Consider the following 19485-nt stretch of genomic DNA (forward strand, 5'->3'; position numbering starts at 1 on the left):
TCGCTTAACTCCCTGAAACCTGTTTCTTCATCTGTAACCTGTGCATAATGAGAGTAGCACCCTCATAGTGTTGTTTTGTAAGAATTAAATAAAGTAATTTTTTATAAAGTACTAAGAATAGTGCCTAAGCTCTAATACTCAGAATAGTGGTAAGCACTTAATAAGTGCCATTATTGTCTAAAAACTATATTAGTATTTTAAGGATTATTATTTTTATTATTTAGTAGTTGTCCTAGGGCTCCCTGGGGATAGGTAGGAAAGGAGTGGGGCTGGGGAGCTCTTTCAGGCACCATTTCCTGATCAAATCCATAGAATATGCACAACCTTAAAAAATTGAAAGTGGTAGAGAAGGTTGTTAAGAGCAAACAAACAATCAATGAATATATACCCATAAAATTAATCCTGGGGAAGTTGTATACACAGCCTGAGTTGTTTTTATATTGATATTCTTTTATTTTTTTGGCTTCCCTGAGTCTGTTTGCAGTCGTCCCTCCTTTACCTGTTGTTTCACTTTCCACAGTTTCAGTTACCTACAGTCGGCCACAGTCCAAAAATATGAAATGGAAAATCTCAGAAATAAACAATTACTAAGATTTAAATCTTGTGCCCTTCTGGGTAGTGTCATGAAATCCTGTGCTTTCCAGCTCCATCCTGCCCAGCTCCATCCTGCCCAGGACTTGAATCCTCCCTTTGTTCAGTGTATTCACGCTGCAGGCACTACCCACCTGTTAGTCACTTAGTAGCTGTCTGGCCATCAGATCAAAAAAACGTAGTATACTTAGTATATATAGGCTTTGGTGTCAAGCGTCCACTGGGGGTTTTGGAACATATCTCTTGTGAATAAGGGGGAGACTCCTGTACTTATTTATATCTCTTACGGTCAGGAAGCTTTCAAGGATATATAAAATCCACCACTGTATAAATTAAAATTAAATGTAAAAGAGAAAAGGAGATAGGAGGAGGCATAATGGAGATGCAGGAATGAAGATAAACATGATGGCATAAAGATTTAGACACTTGCCACAAATGGGTTAGACATTTGGCTCCAGATTTTCTAGGAGGTAGAACTTAATCAGTTATAAAATCTTACCAATAAAAATCTGCCATTTGCTTAGGAGCAACACAATGATTATCTGGTACAAAACTCATCAGATACAAATCTGCCATTTCAGTAAGCATAAGGATTATTTGGTGCAAAAGTAAGTAATGTTTTTTTTCTGCGGGTCCAAATAAGGTACCTATGGTGAACAAATGCATGAAACAAATGTCTTAGCATCATCTGTTCCACAGACACAGTGAATTCTATAAAGCTGTTCATGTTCTTAGAAGCAACTTAGCTTCTCTCCCTCAGTTTTCTCGTATGTAAAATGGGAATAGTATTCGTCTCTACTTTATAGAACTGTTGTGAGACTACATTAGTTAATGCATATATAAAGTGCCTAGAATAGTGTCTGGCACATATTAAGCATCATATAAAGGTTGACTGTTGCTATTATTAGGAGCCACCTTAAGGAGACTTTGACATTTCACCAAAGCAAAATACATTGTTCTTTGTGAAGGTATTTCTTCCACATTTCACATTCTACTTTCTGCCTAGAGGAGAAATGAACTCTGGAGAAAAAAAAAAGACATCACTGAAATGCTTTGACCCACTTATTCCATTTCTAGGAATCCACTCACTCACCCCTAAAAAAGAATCTAAAATACACAAAACTTTAATGTACTTAGAGGTTAACTATTGAGGTTACGGTAAAAGATAAAGCTGGATGCAAATCAACTTTCAATGCAAACCTTCAACATAAAGTAATGATTAAGTAACTTACCCTATGTCAACTGACTGCATAACCATTTAAGTCATTATTGTAGAAAAAAATAGCAACATAGAAAACCCGAAGTGTCTTAACTCTCCACCCAGTTGTTTAGGCTGGAAATTTGGGAGTCACCCTTTAGTTCTTCACTTTCCTCTCTCTGTGTATGTAACTCATTAGTGAGTATTATTAGTTCTGCCTCCAAGATTTATTTCAAATATATTCACTTCCATTTTACTCCTTGCCACTTTTCTATCCAAAAAGACTATTCCAACTATTTTCTCCTAATGCCCTCTCCCAGCAGCCAGAGTGAGCTTCAATAAACATAATTCATTTTCTATCACTCCCTACTTAAAACACTTCAATTGTTTTTTCACAAGCTCTTTTAGATGATCTTTATATACTGTCTCTCTTAGTTATTCCCATAGTAATACTGACCGACAAACTACCCCAAAACTCAGTGGCTTAAAGTGATAATTATTTAATCTTATTTAAGAATCTGGAAATCAGTTGGAAGGGGCTGATCTCAGTGGGGCTTAGCTGGACTTGATGCCAAGCTGCATGTTGGATCCATGTCTGCTACACATCCCTCATTGTCCTGCTACCAGTGGACAATCTAGTATATGGTCTTTCACCACAGTAACACAAGAGCAATAGAGTGAGCCCAACTGTGTGAGCACATTTTAAACCTCTTCTTCTATTATATTTGCTTAAGTCCCCTTAACTAAAGACATAGCTGAGCCCAAACTAAAGGGTTAGCAAAGTGTACTCAGCCACCATGAAACCAAAACAAGTCACATGGCCAGGTCCAACATCAGTGAAGTGGCCAAGTATATTCATTTCATGAAATTGGGTAGGAAAGAGGGAGTGAATATTTGCCTAAAAGTAATCCACCACATATGCCTTTCCACCCCCATTTGAATTGCTCACCTTGAACCAGCCTCACCGGTTTTTTTGTTTGTTTGTTTTCAGTTCTTCAAACAGGACAAGCTCTTTCATACCTCAAGACATTTGAAAATGTAATTCCATCAAGCTCTAAGTCTTTGCAGAGCTGTTCTTCCTAATTTTAACTTAAATATCGATTCCTCAGGTCTTTTGTGAAGACATTAGTAGGTGATAACCTCCTGTGATTCTCTCAGCATCTTGTTTCTTCATAGCATTTATATCAGTTTGTTATATTTTTTTACTAGCTTTGGAATCTGTCTTCCCTACTAGACTGAGTTTTTCTTCCATTTTTCATATCGTTTGCAATTTTGGCTCCTATTTGCAATTAATAACCGAGAAGCAGGAGGATGCAACTCAGAAGCAGAGTCAAGAGTTTGCAAAGGTGCACATGCAGCTGAAATTCTACAGTTGCCCAATTCTCATTATTTCCAAGAAGATTCTTGCCTCCAGTATGAGCTTTCCTTCCTGAATTTGGCCCTTGCTTCTTCATTTTACTAGGGTCTAATAAGTTAACCCCTTTGCCCTGCCTTCTCTTTTGAGGATATTTCCTCTTAAGTTGTGAGATATTCCAGGTCCTCTACCAGACAGCAGTTCATAAAAGCTTCCCCCTAGTAAGTCACCAGTAACCCACACAATCAGCCTCCTTTCCTCTGCTCTCTGAGCTGCTCTTTGGTCCATACACACTGGATACTGGCAGAGCTATGGCCAAAGCCAGGCCTCTTGTCTACCACTGTGGAACTCTTTCTTGGGATGGAAAACATCCTAAATGCTAGGTCAGTTTATACCAAGGCTTCACTCAGCTCTAAATAAGTCCTGATAGTAATGAGTCTTCCAGCTTCCTGCTGGAGCTTATGTGATGGTTCCAAGGATCAATCCATCAGACAATGGTTCCTATTACTGCTTAAAAGACAATGTCAAGCAGACTGAGGAGAGGTGACTCTGTCTAACTGGAGTACTTCGGTTTCCAGTTGGCTGGAAATTATTACTGAATTGCAATAAACTCACACTGACTGGAATGACCTATCAACACTAAATTGAACTGCACATTTCACAAAGAGGCCCAAGATGAAATTTAGGGACAGAAACAACTATTGATTTTTTTTTTTTTTTGTAAGAGGAGTGAAACTAGCTATTGTATGATTTCTACACAAATGCATTTTTTGCTGAATGTTTCTTGTGGGAGTCTCTACTGAAGTATGCAAGGGTCATTAGAATAAAGGCTAGATTTTTTGAAAAGAAAGAAAGACAAGTTTGATAGTTGGTACATTTTTAGAAAAATTGGAATTGGAACCACCAGCTATTCATATTTACACTTTCCCCCACCTCTGTTCCCTCAATATCTCTCTCTTCATAGATATATTTACTCCCTAAAATGCATCTTAAAAACACCACCATATGCTTCCCTGGGCTCACACTTAATTCCCAACACCCACCCCCTTTGCCATCCTTCTCTATCCAGTTTTTTAAAAAACTGTAAAACTACTGTCCCTGAAGAATCTCATTGCCTGTTTATTAAAGGTGCTGTTGTCACCATTTCCACCAACCACTCGTTCACAACTGAAGTTCCTCATCTGAAACATAGGGCACAGAAAACGATCTGAATGACAGTTTTCTCAGTTCTTCTGAGGATGGCACATAACTAGTACCATTCTAGTTGCACAGAAGAAAAATTTACTGCAAACAAAGGATGCCAGAATAATGGCCTCCCCCCGCCAAAGATATTCACTTCCTAATCTCTGGAACTATAAATCTGTTACTGTATATGGCAGAAGGGACTTTGAAGATGTGATTAAATTGAGGATCCTGAGGTAGGGAGATGATCCTGGATTACCTGGGTGAGCTCAGTCTAATCACATGTGTTTTTATAAATCAAAGAAGGAGACAGGAGGGTCAGGGTCAGAGGCAGGGACAGATGTGAGTATGCTATGCTGCTGGCTTTGAAGACGGAGGAAGGTGAAAGATTGCCAGAAGCTGGGGAATGCAAGCAGCCTCTAGGAACTGCAGAGTGAGGAAATGAATTCCCTCTATCCCCCAGAACCTCCAAAGGGAACACAGCCCTGCTGACATCTTGAGTTAGCCCTGTGAAATTTCTGGGCTAAAATTCTGACTTCTGACTTCCAGAAGTCGAAGATAATAAATCTTGTTGGTTTTGGCCACTAACTTTGTGATAATTTTTTATGGCAACAGCAAGAATGTAATACAGATGCTCTAGAGAGTTCAGGCTTAATTCTCTGCAGAAACTCCAGTTGAGGAAGGTTGTCACCAGGAAAACAAAGGCTTCCAATGAAAACAAGGGATATCCCCAGTTGCCATTGGCCATTCAGATAGCCACGACTTATGTCTCTAGAGAGAGACTCCTGTCCTGCAAGGATGTTATTTAGTCCTGTTCGGGCACCTGCATGTGGCATATTGAGAACACTGCATTTCTGAATTGCTGCTAATCAAGAAGTCTTCAGTTGGCCTCTACAAATGGCTTCGCCAGTCCCAAAGAATTGTCAATGGCAGAAATGTCTCTCTCAGGGTAGTAGGAAAACATATATGGGCATTGGAAAATTCTGGTATTTCATAAGCATTCACAGTGGAATCTAGAACCTACATTATTCTAACATAATCACAATCTTATCCTTCAAGCATATGCATTGATCATCAAAAAAATAAATTGAAATATTCTGCAATGTCTACAGAGAGTTTTCTTGGGCTCAGCTAAAGATGCAGACTCACGATATTACCCTAGGAGATACTTGACATCATACTTACTTAAGGACCTTGATGGGAAACCAAATATGCCAGCAGTACAACCTGAGGTATTTCTTTTCTGTGAAAGTCTTTGTGGGAATTCTGTGCAGCACAGCCCAGGTGCAAGGAGATGAGATCCACATCAGCCAAGTGCCTAAAAGCCTCATTCCTACAAGAGCCATTATCTGTTGGGGTGACAGCAACGTAGGCATAATTTCCAGGGTCTTCACAAAGGCCATGGCAGTTACAAATTCACCACACTCAGGAAGACCCCAAGTGTGACTTCCTATCAAATATATACAGCTTATGTATAGGCCTTCCAGTGTTAATCATGGGATTTGTGTTACCATAAACAACACTGGTTAGCAGCATAGCCAACCTTAACAGGGAAACCCAGCGTGAAATTTAAATGAAGGTCAAATTCTCATGCAGAAGGGAAAAGGCTATCTTAACTCTTTACTCATAAATATGTTAGAAGTTGTCCACTTCCATGCATAACACTGCATTATTAACAATGTTGTCATTGTTATTCATAGCTTCTGTTTTTGAAGATGAACATTTATGTAAAGCTTTGTGCTTTATCCGCACTGGCATGTTATATAAATCTTATGGAGAAGGTATAATTAATGCTATCTTTTCATAAGGACACTGAGATTCAGAGAGGTTGAGCAAATTTCTTAAAGTCTTTTAGCAAGTGAGAGGCAGGATAGATATTTGGACCCCACTCTCCCTGGTTCTTATACCTACTCTCTTAATCAGTTTGCTGTCTTCATCCTCCTGGTTGCTAAAGCCAAGCTGTAGCCCTTGTCATGGGTACATTGTCTGCATTTAGGAGGACTAGGCTCCCTCAGGACTTGGGTAGCTTTCTTGGTCTATCATAGTCCACATAGCCAGTTTCATTAGCTAAAGAGGGCATTTGCTCTGTAATAAATGTGCCCATAAAACAAAGAATGAATTTGCACATGCTTAGTTTCTCAAACTGAAATGGGCTATCTTTAATGGTTTACAAAAAAAGAAAAGAAAAAGAAAAGAGCTGGGGACATTCAAACACTTGAGCAGTTTACAATGGTCTTTTCTCAATTACATTTAATACTTAGTACAACTTTGCAACCAGAATGCAGACAGATTCTGAAGAGTGCTGGATTCGTATCAAAAGAGAGTGGCGAATTAGTTGGGGAGAACAGCCTTTAACTTCATGTGCAAAGGAAGACTTGAATGTGGAGGTAGTGAGGGTCAACGGTATTCACTAATCACTTCCCTCACAAAAAAGGCTGCTTTCAGTTCTTGCTGACATCAGTGGGAATCCTAAATCCCTCCAGAGCATTTCAGCCGATTCCTTTCACAGCAGGATCACTACTGTTTCACCTCACTTTTGAAATTCTGCAGTCTTCACTAGCCATTTGCTGGAGTTATAAATGATTGTCTGTCTAAATCAACAAGTGGTAAATCTCCTTTAGTTATAATTTGATTTAAATTAGCTTACCTTGGGAAGCAGACCGCCACACGTGCAAATTACCATAAACAGCAGTCCTCTTTGACGATTTACATAATTAAATGGGAGAATATTAAGACATTATGTGAAGTGGCAACCTATGATGCCTTTTTTTTTAAGTGAAGAATAGGGTAATTCTTCACTTCCCTGTTGTCATTTTATACCAAAGCAAACCTCATTGTGATCTCTGTGGTCTTAGAGATACATTTTTCTGAGATGCCATGTCCCCAAATATATGCAGCTTTCCTGGACAGTTTTAAAAACTGAGAAATGAGGAAATTCCCAAATACATAAAGGTATATCTGATCTATAAGATTGCATACACAATAGGTATTTTGAAATGCAGAAAACTAAAAAAGACAAAGTGCTTCAATTAGTTGTACTTTGGAAAATACATTATACTACACTGTTCTAACAAGCACAGTGAGGGGGAAGAGATTTTCTTCAAAGAGTACTCTTGGGATTTCAAAAACACTTCTGCTTTTGGGGACTGAGAGTTTTAAAATGTCATTGGAAAGTTGTGAAATTTAACATGCAAAATCTTCAGTGGCTTTGTCAATAGAGAAATCAAATGAAATAGTCTAATCCTATGGAACAGAGCAAGCCCTGGTTTTCAAACCAGAAGGCTGTGCTTAAGACATTTACTGTACATCATTTTTCTTTTTCAATCATTTCATGGATTGTTGGAAAGACCCTTCGTTAATTATTGAGTGGTGTAAATATAACGCATTATTTTGAAAGGAAAAGAAAACATTTGGGTGTCATCACCTGCTTCTCTGGAGAATACACATAGTCAAGAGAGGACCTGTCCAGCAGGCAGGAGCTATCATGTGGAGAAATGCCCTGATGCAATGGTATCCTCCAAGTCCACCACCAGGCAAGCTATACCAGTGGTCCTGGAAGACAAAGACCAAATGCTGATATTCAAATCAACTTAAAACACACAGAAGAAAGCAAGGAGCATAGAAATGCAGTAGGTTCGTATACCTAGCATAGAGGGCAGGCACAGTGTAAGGGTCACTTCACCTACATCTCATTTGTACAATATTCATATACAGGATCAGCTACTCAATATATGGAGCTGTTGTAGATTGCATGTTTGCATCCCTCCAGAATTCATATGTCAAATTAACTCCCAATGTGATATTAGTAGGAGATGGGGCCTTTGAGAGGTAATAAGAATCAGATGATGTCTTGAGGGTGGAGCTTCATGATGAAATTCATGGTTTTATAAGAAGAGGAAGAGACACCAGCAAACACCAGAGCTTTTTTTGTCTCCCATGTGAGGACAGAGCAAGAAGGCAACCCTCTGCAAGCCAGGAGGAGAGCCCTCACCAAAACCCGACCGTGCTGGCACCTGATCTTGGACTTCCAGTCTCCAGGACTATAGGAAATAAATGTCTGTTACTTAAGCCACCCAGTCTATGGTATTTTGTTACGGCTGCTCAAGCTGACTAAGTTAGGGGCTGTATTAGTCAGGGATCTCTAAAGGGACAGATTTAACAGAATAGATATATATATATATATGAAGGGGAGTTTATTAGGAGAATTGACTCACATGATCACAAGGTGAAGTACCATGATAGGCCGTCTGCAAGCTGAGGAGCCAGGAAGCCAGTACGTGTCCCAAAATCTCAAAAGTAGGGAAGCTGACAGTACAGCCTTCAGTCTGTGGCTGAAGGCCCAAGAGCCCCTGGCAAATCACTGGTGTAAGTCAAACAGTCCAAAAGCTGAAGAACTTGGAGTCTGATGTTCAAGGGCAGGAAGCATCCAGCATGGGAGAAAGATGGAGGCCAGAAGACTTAGCCAGTCTAGTCCTTCCGCATTCCTCTGCCTGCCTTTATCCTAGCTGCACTGGCAGTTGATTAGCCCGTGCTCACCCAGATTGAGGGTGGATCTGCAGCTCCCAGTCCACTGACTCAAATGTTAATCTTCTTTGGCAACACCCTCACAGACACACACAGGATCAATACTTTACATCCTTCAGTCCAATCAAGTTGATACTTAGTATTAATCCTCACAGGGGCCCAGTGCAAAATTAGAATACAAAGCCTTTTGTTTAAAAAGCAGGGGGGAATGCCGGCATATTAAAGGTACTAAAATATCAAGATTGGCCTTTGATCTGTGTCTCCTTTTCTAACACATGCTCCATTGTACCATCAAACCTCCCTTACAAAACACAAGTTCAAAGAAAAAAATTATTAAGGATATTTCAAGACCACAGAACATTACAACAAGTGTGGGGTCCTCTTGGGCCTATTTATAAGTCCCTTCTCTTCCCCATCAAGTATTTCTGCTGATGGGCTTGAACCATAGTAGAGGTTGAAGGACTGAGGAAGGAATGGGGGAAATGGCCGGCTCTGATTTGGATACAGTTTAGAAAGCCAAGCCCTCTTAGACATCTGTGTAGACAACCTGTGGACCTTCTTAGGCCTAGGTAGTATGTGGGTTCTGTGCTCATAGTAGAGGTCAGGCTAGAAATACCAATCAGAAATTAGTCTGCATGTAGAGCTTATTTAAAGTCATAAACCAAATGAAGTCAATAGAGATATGTAGACAAGGGAGAGTTTTTCTCCCTAGATTGCAGGCCTTATGAGGGCAGATAGTGTCCTTTGACTCTTTTTTTTTGCAGTCCTATCAATGAACAAAGAATCTTACATATAACAGGTGCTAAATAAGTGTTCAAGAAAGGAATAAAGGTGTAAGCAACTAGTTATTCAAGAGTCTTATTTTTCTCTCAGAGTCTTTCTGAACTCCTAATTTGGAGAGGATTTGCTTTTCCAGCAGAAATTGTACATTGATATACTATATGCATGCTTGTTAGAGGTGATTTTATTGTTTTATTTCTGTAAATAATTAACCTGTTTTCCATGCTTTCTGTGATACTAATTAAGAATATTTAGTGTGGAATAACTCATTCAGATGAAACTTCAGCATTTCCTTGCTTTGTACCGCTTGCCATTGAAGATGTTGTAACATAACTATGATGTCATATATCCATTATTTCCAGGAGCTTCATAAGCAATTTCCAGTGGCTGTTTGCTTCACTGTTTGTTGAGATTTTTTTCCTCTGGAAAAATTTCCATTGCTGTTTTTTCATTTCCTTTGGAAAGGGAAATAAAAGCAAAAATAGAATAACAGTATCTTTCAAAATGTGCTTTATAAACAAATATGCTTATAAACCCTGGGTTCTTAAACCGCTATACAAATTGAAAGGGTGTCAGCACTCCCTCCATTCCCCAACCCCCAACACTTTCCCTAGCAAAAATCCGTAGCAGTTTCTGCCTTAAGAAAGATCATTTAATCCAAGCCATAGCATTTGTGACTTGGCTAATTATGAAATACAATTAAAAAATGATTAAGAATTTTTCCCTTCTTAGCCAGAACTCAGGAAGTGTTCTCTTTGTTCTCACCTATTTAATCACCTTCACAGTCATTTCCAATCTAGCTTTACTCCTTTTGACATATCCCAAAATAGCCTGTTTAATTCTGGCCGGAGATGTTCTTTCTTCTTATCTGATCTGGCTCTGTCTCTGCTTTATTGGCTGCTATCAAATAAGATACCCTTTTAAACCATCTAAAATCACAGATGCCTCACTCTTGATACTATACATCTCTGGACTTCTGCTTTTCTTTGGTGAGCCTTCAGGGTAGGACCGCAGGTCGTAGGGTCTGTGTCTATGCCAATAAAATAAACAGGGTTTTGGGAGGGGGATGGTTTTGTGGGCATTTTTTTTAACATCCTGGAAATGCTGATGAAATTCAGTTCCCACTCCCTGTGCCCCTGAGGATTCAGCTGAGAATTTTAAAGGAAGGGAGAGATTCGGTTTGGCACGGAAGAGGGAAGATATCATAAATTTAAGCATAGAAAAAAGGCATGTGTGAAGGCTCAAAAGTAGGAGAAAGGAAGTGATATCAGAAAGTGCCACAATCACTCCTTTGTCCTGGTGTCAGGTGAGATCTCTGAGTAGCTGTCATCACCCTCTCAGAAACCAACCTGATGCCTTTGCCTTTCAAACTCAGATAAGCCACTGTGACTGTAAGGACCCTCATCCATGGAGGATGTGCACCATAATGGGAAGGAACACCGGCTCAGGAGCCACACTTCCTGAGTGAACTTCCAGCGGCATAACCTTGGTCAAGACACTTAACCTCTTTGTCCCTTAAAAAAGGCCGTCAGAATACATTACTGAAATACTGATTTGAAGATGTTTTAATCAAGATTTATGAGCCACCACCTTGCCCAGCACTTTCACGTAAATTCTTTACATGAGAATAGTTTACAAATTCACAGGCAGTCTAAAAATATAAACTTCTATATATTTCCTCAGTTAAAAAAGAAAATCTCCTTTCAGTTTTTATTATTTCCCATTATTATCTGCATTTTGGAGATAAAAAACAACAACAGAAAATAAAAGAGGTTAAGTGATTTGCTCAAGGTCACATAGCTGATAATTGCAGGCCTCAAACCCACAGTGAGCTTTCTAGTCCACTGAGATTCCCATGACAGCTCAGCTCCCAACAATCTGCTTGTAATCAAGTGCCAAAGCAACATTAAACTTTCCAGTTCTCTTACCAGCCACCATCCTGCTGAATCTCTCCAGAATCTTACTCCACTCAGGGCTTGATAAGTGTACATCCACCGTCTGAACCCATCTCTTCCAAAATTCTGACTTCCTAGACTTGAATTCCTTTGACTTCCTGGCTGATGCCTTGGATCTGAATTTCTGATCCTACCAAATGTGGAGGACCAATAAAAGAGGATTTGCTTTTGGTGGCTTAAGAATATGACCTTCCACAATTATTACTTGCCATTGTCAGCCGAGAGGAACTTATGCCCCTCAGCAAGGCTGACCCTAACCAGTGTCTTATGCTGGGGAACATGTGGTTGTCCTAGCCATGGCTCTGCAAGGAGAAGCTGGGGACTAAAGGACAGAAACAAATTCGGATGATAATTATATTATCTCACTCATTAAAGTGGACTTGTGTGAGGATGAACATCAAACAAAAGGACAGAATGTCGGAAGAAAAGACATGTGAAAGAACATCCCTGAGAGAAGAAATGGTTAGTGAGGTCAGTGAAAGCATCGATGTGTCAGGCTCACCTGGTCCCAGATTTGAGTAAACACAGGAACACACTGCAAAGTGTTGTTGGATCCTAAATCAGAGAAAGCTTTAAATAAGAATAGTTAGAGTTTAGGTCATACACTGAGTTGTGTTTGTTTTGAATAATTTTATTTTTATGATACCCTCCTCACCATCCTTAAGCTATTTAAGAGTTCAAGTTAGCCCTATGAAATGTTTTCCAGAATTCTAGAGACTTCATATTGGAAGATGGTGCTTTAAGTAAAAGAACCAAAATCAGAGCAGCAAAAGCTACTTCCCAGCGAACACACTGTAGAAATCCTTCCTGTAGGCTGAGCGTGGTGGCTTATGCCTGTAATCCCAGCACTTTGGGAGGCCAGGGTAGGTGGATGACCTGAGGCCAGGAGTTCAAGACCAGCTTGGCCAACAGGACAAACTCCCTTGTCTACTAAAAATACAAAAATTAGCCGGTGTGGTGGTGTGCACCTGTAGTCCCAGCTACTCTGGAGGCTGAGGCAGGAGAATTGATTGAACCCAGGAGGCAGAGGTTGCAGTGAGCCGAGATCATGCCACTGCTCTCCAGCCTGGGAGACGGAGAGAGACTCTGTCTCAAAAAAAAAAAAAAATCCTTCCTATACACTTTTATTTAACATTCCTTGCAATGCTATGAGGCAGGCATTATTCCCATTTTCTTAAGAGGAAGCTGACATTTATAAGGACCTAATACAAAGTGAGAGATTATTACAGGCTGACTGTGGTTGAGAATGCTCTGGAATTGTAGTCAGGTCTTGGTTGTCCAAGGAGTCTTTTGAACCTACTCTTCGAAGGATACTCAGTGTATCAAACAACTAGCTGTTTCTATTTAGATGGCCTGTGGCCTATTTCTAAAGCACACATACTGGCTTACTGGCTTTCATGGCAGGAGAAAGTTGTTTTCAAGACCTGTACTTAAATAAATGAGTCTGACATCATGCTGTGGGGTGAAATAATTCATACAATATCAGGCAGGCTTTTGTCAAAGAACTTCTAACAGAGACAGAACAGCCTGAGAATTAACGGTATAGATTCAAGAGCCAGATGTCTGGGTTTGAATCCCACTGCTGTCAATTATTAGTAGTGTAACAAATTATTTAATTTCTTTATACCTTCGTTTTCCCATCTGTAAAGGAAAGCTAGTAATGGTAGCCTACCTGATAGGGTTGCTGAGCAGATTAAATGAAGTAGCTTATTTAAAATACTTGAAATCATGCCCAATAGGTAGTAAATACTCTGTAAATGTTAGCTGTTATTTTAATTATTATTATTAACATTAGTAATTCCTTTGCGTCTTACTTCTGTGTACAATACAGTCATTTTATTTTACTCCTCAAACCTTTTTATAATCCCACATTTCTTATAGAATAAATGGTCCCAACTTTTATTTTTGAATGTTTGACGTGTGCCATGCACTATGACAAGCACGTTGTCTCCTTTAATCCCAAAAACAATCATAAAATGTTGGCAGTACTACTAATACCATTTTATAGATGAGAAAAAATGGGATTTAAAGAGCTCTTTAAAATTATCTACAATAATAAAGCTAGCAGTGGATAATTTGAAGCATAAAACCTGTTTTGTAAAACTTCAGTTCTCTAACCACTGTGTTACAATGCGTAACCCCTCTTCTTCCTTCCACCTGCTCACCCAATACCCATGTCTGCTACTTTGTCAGCCTGCTCTCACCCAACTTCCCAAAAGTTTACACTGTTTCCCAAGAATGCTGAGGGACTTGCAGTTCCCCATGTGCAGTAAGCTCTTCCCTGCCCAGTGACTCTGCATATGCTGTTCTCACCATTTCTAGTGCCCTTTCCACTTTGTAAATTAGGAAAGTCGCTACACGTCCTATAAAAATTGCATCAACTGTCCCCTCTGCTTTGAGGTCTTCTCTTACTTTTTAAGTCAAAGCTAGACTGTTTTGTGTCTGTGCGTTCATACCACCCGCAGCACATTTGTCCAATGTTTTTTCCTTTCTAAAATATTGTCTTCCCCACTAGACTGTGAGCCCTTCAAAAATAGTTAACTCTTACTTTTGATTGTTGCCTCCCAAGCCAGAATTGGTTTTTTAAAAGTAAACAGTTCACAAAATCTTAAGATAAACTGGTAAATAAATAGTTCAGATTACTTCCTGAAGGAGCACTGTCCAATAGAATGTTCTAGGGTGATGAAAATGTTCAGTATCTGTACTGCATGGTAGCCACTAGCCATGTGTGTTAATGAGCTCTTGAAATGTAGTTGATGCCACTGCAGAACTGGGATTTTAATTTTATTTAATTTTAAGAAATTTAAATTTAAATAGCTACTGTTTAATATGCTGGGCAGCACAGTTCTAGAGTCAAAGCTGGAGCAGCCTTTGATTGAAGGTTCTTCTTGAGTATTTCTCATCCATATTTCCTTCTCTGTTATATAGTGTACCTTGTAGTTGTTTGAAGTCAGAGCATTGCATATGCTGGAGAGCAGAGTTCAAGATGCTGTAATGAGACAGCAATGATCTTCTATTAGGACAATGGCTCTTCAGAGGGGAAATTTAGGCTTGTAGTGTCACTCACGTAACCACAACAGTGATTTATGTAATAGGGCTAGCAGTCTTCTCAAAGAGCATTTTCAAATTCGTAAAGGATATTTGCAGCCAGAGGAGGATATCTGTGTTGGGGCGCTTTCAGGTTCTCTGCACAGCTAATAAGTGGAAAACAACATCAGCTTCTCTTTATCTGTTTCCACTGGGCCCCTCCAGCATTGTACGTATAGATCTGTTTTCCATTTGCATTATTATACTGTCATTTGTTTATGTTCTGTCTTCTCCCCATCCTAAGTAACTTCTTTGTGAGCCAGACTTTTTTTTTTTTTTTTTTTGGTTATGCATCTTTATTTCCCTAGGACTTACCATAGCATTTGACATAAGGAAAAGCGTCAATAAATGTTTGATGAATAGATAGATGAACATTGAATCAAGGACAAGCCAACAATTCCTGGGACCTCAAGAGGCAAAGCCTCCATCATAGAGTAATGGATATTCCAGAGGGATCTGAGCCTGCAGCACTGTTCTCACTAGGGAGGGAAACATGCAGGAACAGAATCCTGTCCTGTTCACAGCAGAATCACAAAGAAAAGCAATTATGCATTCTGGGCTAGTCCAGACAGCTAGATTGGGTAGAGGTTCAGTCAAGTTGGCGTACTATCTTGCAGTCCACCTGAGGAAGTTTGGATTTAATGAGTAGGAAGTGACAAGATGCTTTTAACAAAAGCCTTTTTTTTCCAGAATCCCTGTGTTGGCTGGAGGGCTTACCCAGCCTCCCTAGGTTTTGAAATAAAATGGACCAGTAAATGCACAACTCTTCTTTTTTGCATAATCTCTGTTAGAAAAGAAAGGGCCCACGGAAAAAGTGCAAAAGTGAGGAGAAGACCCCAGCAATGACTGCCATGCAGACACACATGCAAACAGTGCACACATCCTAGTAGGTAGTAGAGCAAGGTAAATGATTTAATGGAATATGAACAGGGTATCATCTCAGTTCAATTTAGTGCGGGTCAATAAAAATTTAGTGAGCATCTACTTTATGGGGAGAAACATGAATGATTAAGACACAGTCTCTTCCTTTAAAGAATTCACAATCTAACACAGAAGTAAGACTCATGAGCTAATAACTTGCAACAGAGTGTGATGAATGCGCAAACAAAGGTGAGTTAGGTACATTGGTGGCACAGAGGAGCAGACAGTTAACTGCACTCGAGTTTGTCTTGAATGATGTGTAGAAATTCTTTAACTGCATGGGGATGGGGAGAGGTTAGGGAAAGAAGGGCCCTTCTAGTTAGAAGCAATAACATAGTCAAAGGCACAAGTGGGTGAAGCAGTGCAGAGCGGCCGGTGTGGGAGATGGGGCTGGCTCTTCCTTTGGTGACTACTGAGGTGCCCATTTTATCAGAAGTTCACTCTGTCTTTCTGGAGTTTGCAAGATGATTCTTGCTATTATATACAGGATGGACTGACAAGGATAACCTTTAAATAGGGAGGTCAACTAGGAAGCTGATAAAAGATTCGGGATGAGAAGTTTATGGTCCCAGCTAGAATTATGCCTGTGAAAATAAAAAGCAAGACTTTAAAAAGTGTGTTCTAGAGAAGTAATTGTCAGCTCCCTTTGTGTCTGATAACTCCTGAGAAAGAAAACATGCGTCTATCAGTAAGAGTGATGGTACGCTACAGAAGTGTATCTCAAAAGGGATATGGGGATATCATTTGGAAAATCACCTTAAATTATTCTGTTGTCGAGATCACCCTCTAATACCCTAGCAAGGAGAACCTCTATTCTAGAGGAAGAACAAAACTCTGTGGGAACCAAGAAGTGGAAGGGGTTAAGGCTGAAGATATAAAAAATAAATGTTACCATTTATTGAGAACCTAAAATGAGCCATCATCGTGGCAGTTATAATTTTATTTTGTTTTTACTACTGTAGGGTAGGTATTCTCCTCATTTTATCAAAGAGAGACCTGAAATTCAGCTAGATTCTGAACATTTTTCCAGCTCCAGTTGCTGCTGGTAGAAATGCCTGGATTCGATCACAGGACCATCTGATTGAAAAGCCTGAGCTCTTTGTAGCACAGACCACCACCTCTCTCTAAGACCTTTAATGCTGTGACCTGATTGGACCCTAACATTGTATCAGAGGGGTGCCATTAATAGGGAAAATGAAGTTACCCTCAGGGATGGGCTTTAAGAGAAAGATGCCCAGCTAGTACTCTGATCTTTTGTTTCTTTTTCTCCAGTATCATCACTATAGTGTGTCTCAGAGAATGATAACAGCTCACATGCTATTTTGCTAAAAGCGTGTGGGAGAGAAATTAGTGAGTAATTCATTCATTTTCTTTCAATCAACATGTATTTATCAGGCTCATATATGCCAGGTATTTTGCTCAGTGTAAAGGATAAAAAGGTACATTTGCAAGCATTGCTCCTGCACTCCAGAAATCTGTAGTTTCATACATGCTAAAATATGTAGCATAGAATTCTAGTGGAGAGTGCTAAGTGGTCAAGTAGAGATGTGTGCAAGGTGTCATGAGAAAGTCTTCACCTCACCGCCGGTCAAGTGGCAGCTGCTTCTTAAAGAATGAGTAGGAAATGTCCCTAGGGGGAGAAGTGAGAAAGGCACTCCAGGAGGAGCAAGCAGCAGTGCAAAGGCAGGGCATATTGGAAGTGTTTCAGGAGATGCGCCATGTAGCAAGAGCTGAAAAGAAGGACAGGGCTGTTCAGGGCTCTGTGTTCTCTTCTGAGGAGCAGACATCTAGTCTCCTGAGTGGAGTGTGTTAGTAGCAGGGAGGAGGGATGGAGACTGTAAGGGATTGGAGGGGGTGGCATGAGCTTAGTGTTTCTGAACAAAATTTGGAGAGCTGGTGGGGAAGGATTTGGTTGGAGACAGAGTGGTTCCAGGAGAGGCAGATTCCAGCCTGTTACAAAGTCTCATCTCAGACAGGCTCAGGACCTAGTCTGAGTCCATCCTAAACATCACCCTCCTCCACTACCCCCCAAACCCATTCCACTACCTCAGAGGGCTAAGTCATTTTAAGGGTCAAGTGGGAATGGAGGAGGAGCTTCACCTAACTTACTAGCCTGAGGAGTCCAGGATCAGGGCTGTATACCAGCCTATAAAATGAATCAGTGCCTCAGGGTCTTTCCCATAGCAACAAAATTAGTCCTTGACACCTAGACAGTTCTTGCTTCCTTTGTTTTCTGCTTCTCGTGTTGCCTGAAGGCGTGCCTCTTCTTTTGACTTGTATAATTCCCTCATCTAGCTGGGGGCCTCATATAAACTCTGCTGCACTGCTAATATTTCAGTGTCATTTTCAGCTCTATTACATGCTTCTCTCAATCATTCTTTAGAGCAGGGGATGTCATCTAGAGGGGTCTGCAGCTTGCATAAATGAGTTACAAATCCTCGTAATTTCAAGTGGGTTACCAAACCTCTTCCCAGCAGAACCAGGCATCTGGTAGCTCCAAAGTGTGAAAAGGACATTATGCATATGTATGCAGAGCCACATGCCCTACAGCGATTCAGAAGTACTTGCCACACTTTCACTCACGAGGGCCATATGCAAGGAGACCTGAGAACTGCTCTTTGAAAGGAAGCTGCTTTAGCATATCCTTTCTGTTCTCTATTCTCTGCACAAGGCTTCAACTTTCTTTTCCTGAACCCATGAAAGGAGTGAGGAAAAGGTTTGACTGAGTGTGCAAATTATCTCTCATATAAAACTTTGCATATATGTAGTTGGCTAACTTTACCATCAGCAGCTACTGGAGAAAGTGAAAAAGCAACAAAGCTCAGTCTATATGAACATAGCGAGGGCAACAAAATCAGGGACCTAGATGACTCTGACATGGATAATGTTGCCTGAAGAATTTGGAATGGAGGAAAAGGTTCGACTGCTGGTAGCTGTTTGACCTGGCTTAAGATACTTATCCCCACTGAGACTTCCTGCACCTGTAAATGGGGCATAATAATAGCTCTACTGAGTAGTGTTTTCTGAGAATTAGATAAAATAACAGATTTAAAATAGCTTATAAAAACATACCAAAGAACAAAAGCTAACAAAAATACACTTTCCATTTCCTTCCTTTTGATTTATAATAATTTATTAATAATTACTCTGACTTCTAAAAATAAGTCAATCTCATAGTGACAGAGAGTAAAGGGGTGGCTGCCAGGGTCTGGAGAGTAGGGAAACGGGGAGATGTTGGTCAAAGGGTACAAACCATCAGTTATAAGATGAGTAAGTTCTGGAGACCTAATGTACGGTATGGTGACTATCGTTATTAATCATGTGTTGTATACCCGAAGTTTCCTAAGGGAGTAGATCTCAAGTGTTCTCACCACCAAAAAAAAAAAAAAAAATGAAGTGACTTGTGAGGTGATAGATAATGGATATGTTAATTAGCTTGATTGTGGTAATAATTTCACAATGTATGTCCATGCCAAAACATCACATCGTGTACCCTAGATATGTGTGCTACTTTTATTTGTCAGTCATACCTCAAAAAACAAAAACAAAAATAAAAACAACAACAACAACAACAAAAACAGAAAAAAGCAAACTGTAAATTTAAAAACAAAAAACTGTCCTATTCACTTTATGTAGTTTTTGTGGTGGAAATTAAGTGAAAATAGTGAATGTTGTAGGCCGGGCCGGGGGGTGGCTCATGCCTGTAATCCCAGGACTTTGGGAGGTGAGGCAGGCAAATTACCTGAGGTCAGGAGTTTGAGACCAGCCTGGCCAATGGTGAAACCATGTCTCTACTGAAAATACAAAAATTAGCTGGGCATGGTGCATGGTGGCAGATGCCTGTAATCCCAGCTACTTGGGAGGCTGAGGCAGGAAAATCGCTTGAGCCTGGG

The 19485-nt window shown here is 40.1% G+C and overlaps 1 protein-coding gene across 1 annotated transcript in view, besides 1 other annotated feature; it reads left to right on the top strand.

The window, feature by feature from the left end:
• Positions 1-19485, top strand: part of SEMA6D (semaphorin 6D) — a 590140-nt gene that overhangs the window by 203723 nt on the left and 366932 nt on the right. The gene's annotated exons all lie outside the window — the stretch shown is intronic.
• Positions 17791-18539: an enhancer, noted in NCBI's record as "OCT4-NANOG hESC enhancer chr15:47697799-47698547 (GRCh37/hg19 assembly coordinates)". NCBI's record gives its function as "activates a minimal SCP1, AML or CMV promoter by ChIP-STARR-seq in primed H9 embryonic stem cells {active_cell/tissue: H9 hESC(primed)}" and the evidence as "EXISTENCE:reporter gene assay evidence [ECO:0000049][PMID:30033119]".

The sequence above is a fragment of the Homo sapiens genome, chromosome 15 (assembly GCF_000001405.40).
Source record: "Homo sapiens chromosome 15, GRCh38.p14 Primary Assembly".
In the NCBI taxonomy this organism is placed as follows: Eukaryota; Metazoa; Chordata; class Mammalia; order Primates; family Hominidae; genus Homo; species Homo sapiens.